This window comes from Homo sapiens, chromosome 14 (genome assembly GCF_000001405.40).
Source record: "Homo sapiens chromosome 14, GRCh38.p14 Primary Assembly".
Taxonomy (NCBI): Eukaryota; Metazoa; Chordata; class Mammalia; order Primates; family Hominidae; genus Homo; species Homo sapiens.
Genome location: NC_000014.9, coordinates 77634308 through 77652275, shown reverse-complemented (window position 1 = coordinate 77652275; position 17968 = coordinate 77634308). Strand labels below are relative to the sequence as shown.

General features: G+C 46.2%; 1 annotated feature.

Annotated features, from left to right (window-relative positions):
• Positions 9861 to 9940: an enhancer, noted in NCBI's record as "active region_8809". NCBI's record gives its function as "activates an Ori minimal core promoter by ATAC-STARR-seq in GM12878 lymphoblastoid cells {active_cell/tissue: GM12878}" and the evidence as "EXISTENCE:reporter gene assay evidence [ECO:0000049][PMID:35858748]".

Below are 17968 nucleotides of genomic sequence, written 5' to 3'. Positions count from 1 at the left end.
TAGCATGTGTGTGTATGAGTTTGTCATTTTACGTTTTTTTTTGTTGTTGTTGTTGTTTTTGGAGACAGAGTCTTGCACTGTTGCCCAGGCTGGAGTGTGGTTGCAGGATTTCGGGTCACTGCAACCTCTGCCTCCTGGATTCACGCAATTCTCCTGCCTCAGCCTCCCGAGTAGCTGAGACTACAAGCATGCACCACCATGCCTGGCTAATTTTTGTATTTTGGTAGAGACAGGTTTTGCCATGTTGGCCAGGCTGGTCTCCAACTCCTGACCTCAAGTGATCCATCTACCTCAGCCTCCCAGTGTGCTGCGATTACAGGTGTGAGCCACCGTGCCCAGCCTAGTTTGTCATTTTACTTTAATTTGAATCATAAATGAAAATCTGTCTCTCTCTCTCTCTCACGGTAATTTTATTCCAGCAGCCCTAGGTTGAAATCACAATGCTGCTACAAGGTCTTAGTCAAAAGCCACCCAGAATCATTCCGACAGAATGCTCTGGTTTCAGTTGGGGAGGAATCAGACAAGGTAGTATTGGAACCTTTCCTTCCAGAGGACTCCTAAGGTCCTTAGAGCAACTAGTCATACAAGCTCTACATATAGGCCGGGTGAAGTGGCTCACGCCTGTAATCCCAGCACTTCGGGAGGCCAAGGCGGGTGGATCACCTGAGATCAGGAGTTCGAGACCAGCCTGACCAACATGGTGAAACCCCATCTCTACTAAAAATACAAAAATTAGCCAGGCGTGGTGGCGGGCGCCTGTAATCCCAGCTACTCAGGAGGCTGAGGCACAAGAATCGCTTGAACCCGGGAGGCGGAGGTTGCAGTGAGCCGAGATCGTGCCACTGCACTCCAGCCTGGCAACAGAGCAAGATTATGTCTCAAACAAAAAAGCAAAACAAGACGAAAAAACTCTACATATAAAATGGCCTTTTCTAACTCATGGGAAAGTCTTTTTACACCATTTTCCCAGAACAAGACTTCTATTTACTCATATTTACCAAAACTAAGAGATCCATTGGCATCACGTTTCCCCCTGTAATAATAAAATATCACCATACTCAGGTAATTTGCTGGCTTCCCTTCAGAACAAAGCAGAGGATGGCAGGGTACTGGGAGGCAGCGGGGACTCACTTTAGCAGACGTTCATTTATTCATTCCACAAGCATTGGCTGAGGAAACAATGATAATACGCGGTTCCTGCTCACAGGCTATGAGAATAATGCGTCTTCTCCACAGAGTGCCAGCGGCATCAAGGGTAAAGTACTCAATACAGGGTAAAATGCCAGACATGGGTAGAGCAATGATTACTGTGACACACTTCTAGACTCATGAGAGCTTGATGCTTAAAAACTGGGAGAGCCGTTACATTGTTTACTAATAAGAGATACAACTTTTTTTTTTTTTTTTTTTTTTTTTGAGATGGAGTCTGTCTCTGTCACCAGGCCTGGAGTACAGTTGCACGATCTCAGCTCACTGCAACCTCCGCCTCCCAGGTTCAAGTGATTCTTCTGCCTCAGCCTTCCGAGCAGCTAGGATCACAGGTGCCTGCCACCACGCCCAGCTAATTTTTGTATTTTTAGTAGAGACAGGGTTTCACTGTGTTGGCCAGGATGGTCTCCATCTCTTGACCTTGTGATCCACCTGCCTTGGCCTCCCAAGTGCTGGGATTACAGGTGTGAAACACCATGCCCAGCCTGGAGATACAACTTTTAAACGGGCCAGGCATGGTGCCTCACACCTGGAATCCCAGCATTTTGGGAGGCCAAGGCAGGAGGATCGCTTGAGGTCGGTGGTGGGCCAGCCTGGGCAACAGAGTGAGACCCCAACTCTACAAAAAATTTAAAAATTGGCTGGGCATGGTGGTGCGTGCCTGTAGTCCCTGCTACTTGGGAAGCTGGATTGGGAGGATCACTTGAGCCCAGGGGCTCCGGGCTACAGAGAGCTATGATTGTACCACTGCACTCCAGCCCAGATGACAGAGTGAGAACTTGTCTCAAAAAAGAAAAAAAAGATTGGCTACTTTTGTTTACTGATCATATTCTCTCCTGTAGGTTTATAATTAAAAATGAGAATAATAATGTATATAATATAATGATAATAATAAGAGTTACTCTTCGTTGAGTGCATGCTATGTGCTAGGTACTGGGCTGAGCCTGTTATCTTCATTTTCTCATCTAAATCTCTCTACAACACTATGTGGTGGGTACTGTTTCTTTTCTTTTTCTCTTTTTTTTTGAGATAGGGTCTCACTCTGTCACCCAGCCTGGAGTGCAGTGGCACAATCTCGGCTCACCTGCAACCTCTGTCTCCCAGGTTCAAGCAATTCTGCCTCAGCCTCCCAAGTAGCTGGGACTACAGGTGTGCGCCACCATGCCCAGCAACTTTTTGTATTTGTTGGTAGAGACAGGGTTTCACTGTGTTGGCCAGGCTGAGTGGGTACTGTTTTATCCCCACTTTGCAGATGGGGTTCAGAAATGTTTAGGGCAAATAAGTTGAGACCCAGAATTCAAACTCAGTTCTGCCTGCCACCAAGACCCAAGCTCTGAATTGCTCACTTATGGTAACTCTTCCCATCTGGGAAACCAGATTGTAATCTGGACTCAGAAGAAGGGACATTAAATTAGGTGGAGATTCTTAAACACAACTCAGACGTAATTGAGCCTTTTTGGAGCCAGTCTCAACGCAACAATGTACCACAAACAAAGCGCAAATCTGACTCCCAAAGCCTCTGTGCCAAAAGTCTATTTTCCCAAAGGTTTTCTGAAAGAGCCAAGAGGTTACACATCACAAAACATCCTAAGCATTTTGTTTCAACATCTTTTCCCCAAAGTCCTCCTTCTTCCAGCAGCTGTCCACAAGCCCTTCCTCTACCTTCTCTCTACTTCATCCCACTCATTCCTTTTTTTTTTTTTTTTTTTTAAAGACAAGGTCTAGCTCTGTCACCCAGGCTGGAGTACAGTGGTGTGATCCTAGCTTACTGCACCCTCAAACTCTTCGGCTCAAGCGATCCTCCCACCTCAGCCTCCTGAGTAGAAGGGACTACAGGCATGTGTCACCACACCTGGCTGATTTTTGTATTTTTAGTAGAGACAAGATTTCGTCAAGTCACCCAGGCTAGTCTAGAACTCCTGGCCTCCTGTGATGCTCCTGCCTCGGCCTTCCAGTGTGCTGGTATTATAGGTGTGAGCCACTGCACCTGGCCCATTCCTTCCTTTTGAACTCTTCCTCTGCTTCATCTGAGACTTCTCCTCCTTCCTCCAGAATTTTACCCTCATTACTATCTCAGAGATTACAGACTGATAACTCCAAACACAGCCTACAAAAGTGTTTTGTTTGGCTGTTACTGCTCTTGGAAGTGGGGCAGGTGCTTCATTAATCACTGGATCACTGTCCTCCCTTCCCTATAGCCTGTGGACTGTGTGTCTGAGGGTCACTTGCTCTTTGTCATCCTCCTAACCCATGTAAGTAATTGGCCTGACCTCTTGGATCTTGGATTTCCAGTTATTGGCCTGACCTCTTGGATTTCTAAGCCCAAGGCCTTTTTCTTTCTTCCTTCCTTCCTTCCTTCCTTCCTTCCTTCCTTCCTTCCTTCCTTTCTTCCTTCCTTCCTCCCTTCCTTCCTTTCTTTTCTTTCTTTCTTTTTCTTTCTTTCTTCTTTCCTTTCTTTCCTTTCTTTCTCTCTCTCTCTTTCAAGACATGGCCTCACTCTGTCACCCAGGCTGGAGTGCAGTGGTATGATCTCAGCTCACTGCAACCGCTGCCTCCCAGGTTCAAACAATTCTCCCACCTCAGTCTCCCGAGTAGCTGGGACTACAGGTGCGTGCCACCACGCCCAGCTAATTTTTGTATTTGTAGTAGAGATGGTGTCTCACCATGTTGCCCAGGCTGGTCTTGAACTCCTGAGCTCAAGCAATCTGCCTGTCTCAGCCTCCCAAACTGCTGAGATTACAGGCATGAGCCACCGCACCCGGCCTCTACTTTTTTATTTGGAACCACAACATGATAACCAGTGCAGCTAGACTTTGGAGACCACCTTGGGGTGGATTTGTCTGTCATGTCTGTGAGTGTATTTGGACACCTTGGAAATGTGTCACTGATTAGGAAGACTGTAGCTCTGGTTCCTTTAAAAAGATTCCAGGCCTAGGCACATCGGCTTATAAGAAATTATCCAAGTGGGTGCACAATGAAGTGCATGCATCCTGCCCTCATTTGAATGCTGATCAAAGTTCAGGCGTATCTCCTAGGGACCCACTCTTATCACAGACTAAGAGTCAATTGTGCAATAAAAAGTGAATGCTTATCATATCACATGGTGATAAATAATACAGGTTGTTTTAATACTCATTTTAAGATTAGATGCTTGTAGTCTAACTTATGATAAGTAAGAATCTCAGGGCTTAGGGATTCAACTTTGAAACAAACTTTCTCCTTTTCCTTTTGAGCTTGGGAATTCATTTAAATAGAGACTTCTTAAGATTGCAAGGTTAGCTTTTACCATTTCTAACAACTTTTCTGTTACTGCAGATTTCTACGGTATTTTGCTGTGGTGGACTCTATTGTTGTTTATGAGTATTCTTTACTCCTTTCTTTCGTTCTTTCTTTTTTTTTTTTGATATGAAGTTTTGCTGTGTTGCCCAGGCTGTAGTGCAGTGGCACAATCTCGGCTCACTGCCACCTCCACCACCTGAGTTCAAGCAATTCTCCTGCCTCAGCCTCCTGAGTAGTTAGGACTACAGGCGTGCGCCATCACGCCCAGCTAATTTTTGTATTTTTAGTAGGGATGGGGTTTTGCTGTGTTGGCCAGGCTCGTCTTGAACATTTGACCTCAAGTGATCCTCCTGCCTTGGCCTCCCAAAGTGCTGGAATTACAGGCATGAGCTACCAGCCCAGCCCTCTTGTCTCCTTTCTTGAATAGGATCATATTTCCTTGCTTGTTGACATCAGGCTTTGACCATGTGATTTGTTTGGGCCAAAAAATGTGAGCAGAGCGATGTGTGTTAATGTTAGAGCCAGAGCTCTAAGAGCCAGCAGTGGTTTTACATGGTTCTCTCTTCCCTCTGGCACAGCAAGGACAGCCAGGCCCTGGCAGGAGGGCGACCTGTAGCAGAGCTGTGGCTGCCCCAGATGGATACAGGGCATGAGCGAGAAATAAACCTTTGTTGTTACATGGCACTGAAATGTTGGGACCAATTGTTACAGCGGCATAACCTAACCTATCCTGACCAAGATGTATGCAAGCAAACCAAAACTATTAACTCTGATACTGAAGCTGACAGGACAGGAGATTGCAATAAACCCAGTTTCATTTTTCCCTAATCATTAACATGATCTAATTGTTCTCATTGATTGAGAGGTAAGTGTTGTAAATTTAAACTCTAAAATAATTACATACTAATAAAATTCTCTATATAATATGATACATAATATATACATACATACATATATTGTAGTCCGCCCTTGCACAGTTTTGCTTTCCATGGTTTCAGTTACTCAGGGTACAGTATAGTAAGATATTTTGACAGAGAGATGAGAGAGAGATGGAGAGAGACCACATTCACATCACATTCATTATAGTATATTGTTATAATTGTTCTATTTTATTATTAGTTATTGTTAATCTCTTACTGTATCTAATTTTGAAATTAAAGATTATCAGAGCTATGTATGTATAGGAAAAAACATAGCGTATATAGAGCTTGGTACCATAAGCAGTATGAGGCATCCTCTGGGGGTCTTGGAATGTAGCCCCGGGAGATATTGGGGGGACTACTGTATACACACATATACATATATACAGTCTCTATAAATTTTTTTTTTTGGGACAGAGTCTCGCTCTGTCGCCCAGGCTGGAGTGCAGTGGTGCGATCTCAGCTCACTACAACCTCCGCCTCCCGGGTTCAAGAGACTCTCCAGCCTCACCTTCCCGAGTAGCTGGGACTACGGGCATGTGCCACTGCATCCAGCTAATTTTATTTTATTTTTTGTATTTTTAGTAGAGACGGGGTTTCACCATGTTGGCCAGGCTGATCTCGAACTCCTGACCTCAGATGATCCGCCCACCTCAGCCTCCCAAAGTACTGGGATTACAGGCGTGAGCCACTGCGCCCAGCCAGTCTCTGTAAATTTTTGAAAACAAAGTTCTGCTTGTAAAAATCATTAAATTCTCAGGACAAAATTCTGGTGTTTATGGGGCAGATCCCCCCCAAAACAAAGCTCAGATGAGAGCTGTCAATCAAAAAAGCTGTTGGCTTTATTGGTGTCTCCTTTTCTAAGCATTTGTTGCCAGTCAACTCCTTTCCAATGAACTTTTTTCTTGAAGTAGGTCCATAGCGTTGATCCACCTACTGTGTCAAGTACTGCAAACCTGGAAGCCATTCTACCTCTTTAACATAGATGGGTATCTCTGCTCAAATCCACTGTGAGTGAAATATTTTAAAATTATTGCAGTAATACATGTACATAGCAAAAAAGGCATACCAGAGATACGTGATAAGTAAATTATCTCTCCCTTCCCTAACCCGCAGTGCCACTTCTCAGAAGTAATTATGTGAGGAATTTCTTATCAGGGCCAGTTTCGCGGGAGTGTTACCGATACAGTCACACAGGCTCCGCACTCAGAAGGACTGTGCGCGCTTCATTTAATGCTCTGCCATTGCCTTCTTGAATTTTTTTTTTTTTTTTAGATGGAGTCTCGCTCTTGTCGCCCAGGCTGGAGTGCAATGACACGATCTTGGCTCACTGCAACCTCCACCTCCCAGGTTCCAGGGATTCTCCTGCCTCAGCCTCCCAAGTAGCTGGGATTACAGGTGCCTGCCACCACGTCTGGCTAATTTTTGTATTTTTAGTAGAGATGGAGTTTCACCGTGTTGACCAGGCTGGTCTCAAACTCCTGACCCCAGGTGATCCGCCCGCCTTGGCCTCCCAAAGTGCTGGGATTACAGGAGTGAGCCACCATACCCAGCCAATTTTAGAAATGTAATTTAACCCATTGTGAGTGCTTGGTAGACAATCCACATAGCCTATGAGTAATGACAGCCTGAGCTATGGGTGTGACTTATAGAGCTGGAGAACTTATTTTTTGTTTGTTTGTTTGAGACAGAGTCTCTCTTTCTTGTCCAGGCTGGAGTGCAGTGGCACAATCACGGCTCACTGTAGCCTTGACCTCTCAGGCTCAAGGGATCCTCCCACCTCAGCCTCAAGAGTAGCTGGAACCGCAGTGCACATCACCATGCCCAGCTAATTTTTGTATTTTTTGTACAGATGGAGTTTCACTATGTTGCCGAGGCTGGTCTTGAACTCCTGGGCTCAAGTGATCCTCCGCCTCGGCATCCCAAAGTGCTGGGATTACAGGCATGAGCCACCGCACCTGGCCCTTCTCAGCTTTTCTATCACTAATTCTCTGCATTAAACATTCTCTGTTTCAAGTGCTCAAAGTGGTTTCCCCTTTCCTGGTTGACCCCTGAATGATTCTCTAAATAATTCTTGCAGACATTACATGTCCTATGATATATCTAGCTCTAGTCACTGGTAATACAGTGTGCTGCATATGAAACTCATTCTAAAAGTAGGCTGACTGGAGTTTGAATCCTGACTCCAACCATTTCCTAGCCTCAGTTCCCTCATCTGCAAAATCAGGATAATACTAAAATCTAGCCCGTAGGGGAAATAGTGCTTGAAACATACTTAGCATAGTGCTTGGCACAGAGTAAGTGTTCAGTGTTAGCTAATATAACAGGAGGAAGATCAGGGGCTTGCGAGAAGCTGACAGTGTCAACCGTAATTCCCAGACTGTTCTCATAATTTATGGTGTGTGCATTGTACAGCATTGTAAGCTCTTGTGTAGCATCCTAGAAACTTGTTTATAATCCCCTACCATGCCCAGAACAGTGATTAGAACATAGGAGAGCCTCAGAAAGTTGGCTTGTTCTTGATTTTGTAATTACCACAGAATACCTTACATTAGGCCCCCCCTTTTCCTATACTGCTTAAAGCTGGCCCTGATCTTGTCCTTAGTTTCTGGGCCTTTGTTTTTGAGACGGAATCTCGCTCTGTCGCCCAGGTTGGAGTGCAGTGGCACGATCTTGGCTCACTGCAACCTCTGCCTCCAGTGTTCAAGTGATCCTCCGGCCTCAGCCTCCTAAGTAGCTGGGATTACAAGTGTGCACCACCACACCTAGCTAATTTTTGTATTTTTAGTATAGATGGGGTTTCACCATTTTGGCCAGGCTGGTCTTGAACTCCTGACCTCAAGTGATCCGCCCGCCTCGTCCTCCCAAAGCGCTGGGATTACAAGTGTGAGCCACCACACCCACCAGTTTTTGGGCCTTTAATCAAAGGACTCCAGTATCTGCGGAGTCCTGTCTCCTCTCCCCACTCACCCCTCACATACCCGACTCAGACCCCAGCGTTTAAAACCAAAAGAACTGCTGAGAACTCCAGACCAGAAATCAGCAAACTTTTTCTGTAGAGGGCCAGACAGTAAAGATTTTGGGTTTTCCAGGCCGCTTATAATTTCTCTTGTAACTACTCAACTCTGCCTTTGCAGTGTGGAACAGCCATTAATGAATGAATGTGGTCGTGTACCAATGAAACTTTATTGCTGGACACTGACATTTGAATTTTATATAATTTTCACACTTCATGAACTATTACTATTCTTTTGACTTCTCTTTAACCATTCAAAAGTGTAAAGACCATTCTTGGCTCTCAGGCTGTACAAAAACAGGCAGCAAGCAGGATTTGGCTGGCAGGTCATAGTTTTCGGTTGGCTTTTGCTCAAGTTCCTGTCTTCTTTTTGTTCCCCTCTTTCTTTCCTTCTTTGCTGTGTGACACTAAGTTACTTAGCCTCTCTGGGCCTCAGTTCTTTACCAGTAACTCTGGAGTGGCAGTAGATGAGTGTTTTTCAAAACCAGATCATCAGTAAGAATGGGATGAAGGGAGGAACAAGAGGGAAGCTGTTGGTTTTGTAGTTTTATTGTTTTTCATCTCTTTTATCTGTTTAGACTTACAGGTAAAATTCTATTCTTTTTTTTTTTTTTTTTTTTTTTTTGAGACAGAGTCTTGCTCTTTTGCCCAGGCCAGAGTGCAGTGGCGTGATCTTGGCTCACTGCAACCTCCGCCTCCAGGGTTCGAGCGATTCTCCTGCCTCAGCCTCCTGAGTAGCTGGGATTACAGGCACTCACCACCACGCCCCGCTAATTTTTGTATTTTTAGTAGAGATGGGGTTTCACCATGTTGGCCAGGCTGGTCTCAAACTCCTGACCTTAGGTGATCCGCCCACCTCGGCCTCCCAAAGCGTTGGAATTACAGGTGTTAGCCACTGCACCTGGCCAAAAATTGCATTCCTACACACACACACACACACACACACACACACACACACACACACACACATTTATTTATTTATTTATTTATTTATTTATTTATTTATTTATTTGAGACAGGGTCTCACTCTGTTGCCCAGGCTGGAGTGCAGTGTCACAATCATAGCTCACTACAGCCTCAAGTTCCTGGGCTCAAGTGATCCTCCTGCCTTAGCCTCCCGAGTAGCTGGGACTACAGGTGCACACCATCACACACGGCCAATTTTTAATTTTTTTTTGTAGAGATAAGGTCTCCCTTTGTTGCCCAGGCTGGTCTCCAACTCTGGGCTCCAGCAATCTTCCAGCCTTGGCCTCCCAAAGTGCTGCGATTACAAGCGTGAGCCACCGCTCCCAGCCTTAACATTCCATTTAAACAAAAAGTACTCTTCCTACAAATACTTTTGGGAAATTGCCAATTAGTCCGGGGGTTCAACGGTTTTTCCTGCCTCCATCAATAACATTTCATGGGGCAGAGGTGAAATAGGTGTGAAAGTTATTGTCCTCCTTGAGCAACCCCTTCCTGACCGTCAGTGCATTTGTTTGTGTCTTGGGTCCTTTCAGTTCCAAGTTTCATTCGCTTATTCATGATGGAAACGTTTGTTGAGCGCCTCGGGTGAGCGGGGCCAGGACTGGATGTTCTGCAGCAGACGGCGCAGGCGCAGAAGTGGCTGAAGGTGCCCGCGCCGAGCGCTGCGGCCTGAACCACCCAGGAGCTCGAGGAAAGAGGGAGGACGGGAGGGAAAGCTGGATCCAGACAGACCCCAGCTCCTGGGTTCCCAGAATTGTCCGGCTATTCCTCCAAAGCCCCCGCTATCTTGCTTCCGACTTCCTTCCGGCGCTTTCTGTAAACACATCTTTCAGTTTCCTGGGCTAGCCTCTCGCCCGCGCATCCTCCCCGCCCTTGGCTCTTCCCTGCACGAGGGAGCGGGGAAAGAGGGTGGAAATCACGCCCTTCTCCCCGCGCTGACCCCGGCTCCCGCTCTCCCTTCTCGGAATGACTCCGTGCCCACCCTCACCGCCCTGCCATCCTCCTGCGATCCTTATCAGGGTCGGCCCCGTGGAAACCCGGCCATCCTCAGGGCGACGTTCTGGCCTCCAGTACAGTTTTCTGACCCCCGTGGGGAACCAGGATCAAGGCCGACCCCAATCTGTTTCAGTGACCTTTTTCTAGAGAGAAAGGTTGTTGCCAGCGATTGCCGGGAACACACACACACCAACACAGTTCTCTTTGGGACTTCAGCCTAAAATAACCGGACGGCCTGATTTTCAGTCTTTGGGCGGGGAGAGGAGGGAATGGGGGATGGTCTAATCCTACCCAGTGTTTCCTCAGTGACAACTTTTCTTCTCTAGGGCCACTACTTTCCTTCCTTATTTCTCTTCTCACCACTTCCTCATTCCTAATTCAAGAAAAGGCCTTAGGAGATTGACTTTAGCTTTTTTTCTTTTTTTTATAATGAGGTAGGGCCTCACTCTGTTGCCCAGGCTGGAGTGCAGGTGCACGATCTCGGCTCACTGGCAGCCTAGAACTCCCGGGCTCAGAGGATCCACCCACTTTAACCTCCCAAGTAGGAGCAAAGGCGCACACCACCACGCCCGGCTACTGTTTTGTTTATTAGTTTGTTTTGCTTTTTCAGACAGGGTCTCACTCTGTCACTAAGGCTGGAGTGCAGTGGTGCTGTAACTGTCCAAGGGGTTCACCTTGCCCGCTGACTAGACAGAGTCCCATTAATCAAGACAGGGGAATTGCAATAAAGAAAGAGGAATTCATGCGGAGCCGGCTGTGCGGGAGACCAGAATTTTATTATTACTCAAATCAGTCTCCCGGAGCATTGGGGGAGCAGAGTTTTTAAGGATAACTTGGTGGTGGGGGGCGGAAGGGGACGGGGCGGGAAGCCAGTGAGCCAGGAGTGCTGATTGGTCAGGGAAGAAATCATAGAGACTGGAAGCTGTCTTCTCGGGCTGAGTCAGTTCCTAGATGGGGGGGGCCACAGGATGAGATGAGCCAGTTTATTGAGCTGGGTGGTGCCAGCTGATCCATCAAGCGCAGGGTCTGCAAAATATCTCAAGCACTGATCTTAGGAGCAGTTTAGGGAGGGTCAGATTCTTGTAGCTTTCAGCTGCATGACTCCTAAACCATAATTTATTTTCTTTTCTTTTCCTTTTTTTTTTTTTTTTTTTTTTTGAGATGGAGTTTTGTCTTGTCGTCCAGGCTGGAGTGCAGTGTTGCCATCTCAGCTCACTGCAAACTCTGACTCCCGGGTTCAGGCGATTCTCCTGCCTCAGCCTCCCGAGTAGCTGGGATTACAGGTATGCATCACCACTCTCGGCTAACTTTTTTTTTTTTTTTGGTATTATTAGTAAAGATGGGTTTCACCATGTTGGCCAGGCTGGTCTTGAACTCCTGACTGCAGGTAATCCACTTACCTTGGACTCTCAAAGTGCTGGGATTACAGGCATGGGCCACCATGCCCGGCCTAAACCATAATTTCTAATCTTGTGGCTAATGTTACTCCTACAAAGGCAATCTAGTCCCCAGGCAAGAAGGAGGTCTGCTTTGGGAAAGGCTGTTACCATCTTTGTTTAAACTATAAACTAAGTTTCTCCCAAAGTTAGTTTGCCCAGGAATGAACAAGGACAACTTGGAGGTTAGAAGCAAGATAAAGTCGGTTAAGTTAGATCTCTTTCACTGTCTCAGTCATAATTTTGCAAAGGCAGTTTCAGTGCAATCTCAGCTCACTGCAACCTCCGCTTCCCGGGCTCAAGCGATCCTCCTGCCTCAGCTTCCCGAGTAGCTGGGACCACAGGCATATGCCACCGCACCCGGCTAACTTTTGTATTTTTTGTAGAGATGGGGTTCCACTGTTGCCCACGCTGGTCTCGAGCTCCTGAGCTCACGCGATCCACCCACCTCAGTCTCCCAAAGTGCTGGGATTACAGGCGTGAGCCACCGTGCCCAGCCTATGGCTACTGTTTTTGGTTTTGTTTTTGAGATGTAGTCTGGCTGTGTCTAGCCCAGGCTGGAGTGCAGTGGCGGAGTGTCGGCTCACTGCAGCTGCCACCTCCCAGGTTCAAGTGATTCTCCTGTCTCAGCCTCCCGAGTAGCTTGGACTACAGGTGTGCACCACCACATCCAGCTAATTTTGTATTTTTAGTAGACACGGGTTTCATCATGTTGGCCAGGCTGGTCTCAAACTCCTGACAGGTGATCCACCTGCCTCGGCCTCCTGAAGCGCTGGGATTTCAGGCATGAGCCACTGTGCCAGGCAGCTACTGTTTTTGTATTTTATTTATTGTAGAGAAGGGTCTCACTATGTTGCCCAGACTGGTCTCAAACTCCTGAACTAAAGCAATCCGCCCACCTTGGCCTCCCAAATGGTGGGATTATAGGCTTGAGCCACCACACCCTCCAGAATCTTGACTTCTTAACTGAGGAATTTCTCAGCTACCTCCTACCTACCTGTTACCTCTCTCGGCTTTCCACCTGCTGTTAGAATCTGTTCCTTCTTGCTGGGGGCAAGAAGGATTACGCCTGTAATCCCAGCACTTTGGGAGGCCAAGGCAGGTGGATCACTTGAAGTTAGGAGTTCGAGACCAGCCTGGCCAACATGATGAAACCCTTCTCTACTAAAAATACAAAATTTAGTCAGGCATGGTGGCATGTGCCTATAATCCCAGCTACTTGGGAGGCTGAGACAAGAGGATCGCTTGAGACAGGGAGGTGGAGGTTGCAGTGAGCCAAGATCATGCCACTGCACTCTAGCCTGGATGACAGAGCAAGACTCCACCTCAAAAAAGGAAAAGAGTCTGTTCCTTCTTCTCAAGCTTAATGTCCCCTTCCCACCCACTCCCTAGCATTCCTAACCTGACTCATCTCCCTTCCTTTCTGCCTCATGAAATATAGTAGACATTTTAGGGTTATCTTTTAGACCATGCATGCCTTTTCTCTGAGAATTTCCTACACACAGACGCATACCCTGCAGTGGTGGGCCCCAGGCAGCTATGTTTGGGCGTGTGATTTGCCCCTATGGCATTAACTGAGACAGAGTGTACATGACTCACAACTGGGTCAAGCATATTCTCTTTTGTGGACTTTAGAATTAGGCTTGAGAAGCTGGCTGCAGCCTGAGTTGGTTGGTTTCTTGGATGCAGGAAATGTAGATAGGGAGGGCTTTGCCATGTGAATATTGGATTGGTGAAAACTGGTCTGTAGAAAGTGCAAAGGATCCAGATTCCCAGAAGCAGAGATGAGGCTGGAGGAAAGAGGAATTCCTTAGGGGTATTACTGCTTTCTAGTTCCTGCCTCCTGATCTTCAGGAGGAGCTGCCCTTGGGTCCCTTGAGACTCACAATGGATGTGTTACAGTCTGTATGAATTAAGATGTACTTGCCTACAAGTAAGAAAGTCTAAATGATAGTGACTTGAACCACTAGCACATGTTGTTTCCTTAAGAAGTCTGGGCTGGGCACAGTGGCTTACACCTGTAATCCCAGCATTTTGGGAGGCCAAAGCAGGAGGCTTACTTGAGCCCAGGAGTTCAAGACCAGCCTAGGCAACATAGAAAGAACCTGGCTCTACAAAAATAATAATAATAATAATAATAATAATAATAATAGCCAGGCACAGTGGTGGGCACCTGTAGTCCCATCTACAAGGGAGGCTGAGGCAGGAGGATTACTTGAGCCCAGGAGGTCAAGGCTGCAGTGAGCTGTGATTGCACCATGATTGCACCACTGCACTCCAGCCTGGGCGACAGAGCAAGATCCCATCTCAAAGAAAAAGAGTCTGGAGTTAGGTAGAGCCAGGGTTTCATCAGCTCAGCTATGTCATCAAAGACTCAGGCTCTTTCCATCTTTTGGTCACTCAGCATGTTGACTCTTCATTATTTTGCTTATTGCCTCATGGTCTCAAAATAGCTGCCATGGCTCCAGATATCATGTCCTCCATTCATTGCATCAAGTCACTGGGAAAGCAGCAGGAGTAAAAGGGCTCAATTTTTGCTAAAGGAAAATCCCTCATTTTCAGAGGCCCCACAGACTTCCTTATCTCATTGGATAGAACTGTGTCACTTATCTACACTACCTGCAAGGGAGGTTGGAAGAGTAAGTGCCTGGCAAAGGAAAATTTGGTTTCCATGATTACCTTAGGCCAATTATGATTCATAGGGCTGGCAGGACATCTGCTTCTCTGAAATCAGTGAATTTCCTCCCTGTCCTTGAACAAAATCAGCAGGGAAAGAGGGGAGAGGTGATACATAGAAAACAGTATCTGGCACACCTTCCCAAAACTTCCTGTTCCATTTAAGCTAGTTTACTTATATTTGTCACTTGTAACCAAAAGAACTTTGACTAAGGATGCCTGTTAAAGAGAAATGACTCAGCCAGGCACTGTGGCTCACACCTGTAATCTCAGCACTTTGGGAGGCTGAGGCAGGTGGATCACTTGAGGTTAGGAGTTCAAGACCAGCCTGGCCAAAATGCTGAAACCCCGTCTCTATTAAAAATACAAAAAGTAGCTGGGCATGGTATGGGTGCCTGTAATCCCAGCTACTCGGGAGGCTGAGGCAGGAGAATCGCTTGAACCCAGGAAGAAGAGGTTGCAGTGGGTCAAGATCGTACCACTGCACTCCAACCTGTGTGATATTGTGAGACTCTGTCTCAAAAAAAAAAAAAAAAAAGAGAATTACCTCTTTCCATGTTTCTCAGGCTCACTTAATCACTCTTGACCTCTGCCCAATGTCTTTCTCCTCACCAGAGAGGGGGGTGGGGTGCCTGGTTGGTGTGGGACATGTTCCTCCACTGGATAAGAATGATCTATCAATGGTCCTGGCTTGGAGGATCTGGTCTCTTATTTCTTTTCTACCAGGACAAGTGGGAGAGCAGCATATGTACTTGTTGGGTTTCAAATTTTCTTTTAGGTGTGCTTCATCAAGGTCTAGTCTGGAGATCAGAAATTAACCTCACACTCAAGCCACATTCTCCCAGACCACTTATATCCATAATAAAGATGACATTTTATCAGGTGACATTTTTGTCTGCACTTAATTTGTGGAATCCAGTGCAAAATAAAAATTACCAAGAATTTCAAGATGGCAACAACAGAGCATTAAACCAAGTGCAGGGCCCTATGCAACTCACACAGGTCCCACGCCCATGAATTCAGCCGTGCACTTTAGTTCTGCATATGCTGACCCTTTTGTCTTATTTCTCTCTCTTTTTTAGATGTAATTAAAGCCTATGTCTTATTTCTCAATTGGTTCATATCTATGGTTGTTACAGTAGGTAATTGGTCAGACATGAGTGGGGCAGGAGAGGGCCTCCACCAACCAGGAGTGTCAGGAGACCATCAGATGTTGGTCAGGCAGTTGTTAACTGTCTCTCTAAAATAATAATCGGTCAGAGCCAGCCCAGGGAAAGGTAGTCTCTGGATAGATAGCAACACCTGAAACTGGTGTTCATCAGCTTCCCAATAAGACCTTGGGAGTTGGGTGAGTGGGCTCAAGCATGTGCCCACATATGCCCAGAGGCAAAATGGTAGAATTTAACTGGTATATGACCTTTCTCTAAGAACACTTCTAGGAACAAATCAGACATTGTCTTCAATAGGAGAAAGCCAAGGGAAACTCCAGAGGTGGCAAGTGAAATTACAAATTTCCCTTTTGCATTCAAGAGTGTGGGGAAAAGAAAGAGCGATCAGACTGTTACTGTGCCTATGTAGAAAGAAGTAGACATAAGAGACTCCATTTTGTTCTGTACTAAGAAAAACTCTGCTGCCTTGAGATGCTGTTAATCTGTAACCCAACCCCCAACCCTGTGCTCACAGAAACATGTGCTGTGTGGACCCAAGGTTTAATGGATTTAGGGCTGTGCAGGATGTGCTTTGTTAAACAAACGCTTGAAGAGAGCATGCTTGTTAAAAGTCATCACCACTCCCTAATCTCAAGTACCCAGGGACACAAAACACTGCGGAAGGCCGCAGGGACCTCTGCCTAGGAAAGCCAGGTATTGTCCAAGGTTTCTCCCCATGTGATAGTCTGAAATATGGCCTCATGGGAAGGAAAAGACCTGACCGTCCCCTAGCCCGACACCTGTAAAGGGTCTGTGCTGAGGAGGATTCGTAAAAGAGGAAGGCCTCTTTGCAGTTGAGGTAAGAGGAAGGCATCCGTCTCCTGCTCGTCCCTGGGCAATGGAATGTCTTGGTGTAAAGCCCGATTATATATTCCATCTACCAAGATAGGAGAAAACTGCCTTAGGGCTAGAGGTGAGACATGCTGGCAGCAATACTGCTTTTTAATGCATTGAGATGTTTATGTATGTGCGCATCAAAGCACAGCACATTTTTCTTTACCTTGTTTATGATACAGAGACATTTGTTCACATGTTTTCCTGCTGACCCTCTCCCCACTATTACCCTATTGTCCTGCCACATCTCCCTCTCCGAGATAGTAGAGATAATGATCAATAAATACTGAGGGAACTCAGAGACCAGTGCCAGCGTGGGTCCTCCGTATGCTGAGTGCCGTTCCCCTGGGCCCACTTTTCTTTCTCTATACTTTGTCTCTGTGTCTCTTTCTTTTCTCAGTTTCTCGTTCCACCTGACGAGAAATGCCCACAGGTGTGGAGGGGCAGGCCACCCCTTAAAAGAGCTGCCTACTCTATGCTAACCTCCTTCTCTGAGTGACTCTCCAAATTCTATTGGGTAATGGCGACAAATGGCACCCACCCCCTAAAAGAAAAGATTCACATTTACTTGGAGCAAGATGGGTGCCTGCTTAATATTTACCCAACGTCTGAATTCATCTTTCTCTCTAATAGCCCTGTGTTTCATGGAAAAGCTACCTAAATCTTTAACCAATAACTTTAACCTGGTCAGTCCTACCTTAGGGGTTTAAAAATAGGCCACACTGGCTGGGCGTGGTGGCTCATGCCTGTAATCCCAGCACTGTGGGAGGCTGAAGCGGGCAGATCACGAGGTCAGGAGATCGGGACCATCCTGACTAACACGGTGAAACCCCATCTCTACTAAAAATACAAAAAAATTAGCCGGACATGGTGGTGGGCGCCTGTAGTCCCAGCTACTCAGGAGGCTGAGGCAGGAGAATGGCGTGAACCCGGGAGGCGGAGCTTGCAGTGAGCCAAGATGGCGCCACTGCACTCCAGCCTGGGCGACAAAGCGAGACTCCATCTCAAAAAAAAAAAAAATAGCCCACACTTACTCAAACAAGCCTGAACAAGAAATCTAACTGAGCAATCACTTTAGTGGGGGATAACTTCTACCATATATAGGTAACCTCTTTATCTGCTCCCATTTTACAGGACTTGCACAGCAACAAACCATAACTTCCTAACAGAAAGAAAATAACTTTTGTCTAATTCAAAAGTTATAAAGGTAAAGAGGTATTTTTGGTAAAGAGTGTTACAAGAAAAGAGACTTTGTATGAAAAAGGATCTTGTATGGTAAATTCTTGTCCTAAAATAAAATAACTGGTTGTTTAAAAAGACAGACATTTAGGACAAGTCAGAAAGTCCAACCATGTCATAGATGGTCTGTATAAGTTGTGAAAAGATTCGTGAAAGGAATTTACAACTTGCCTTCTTTAAAGCCATTAA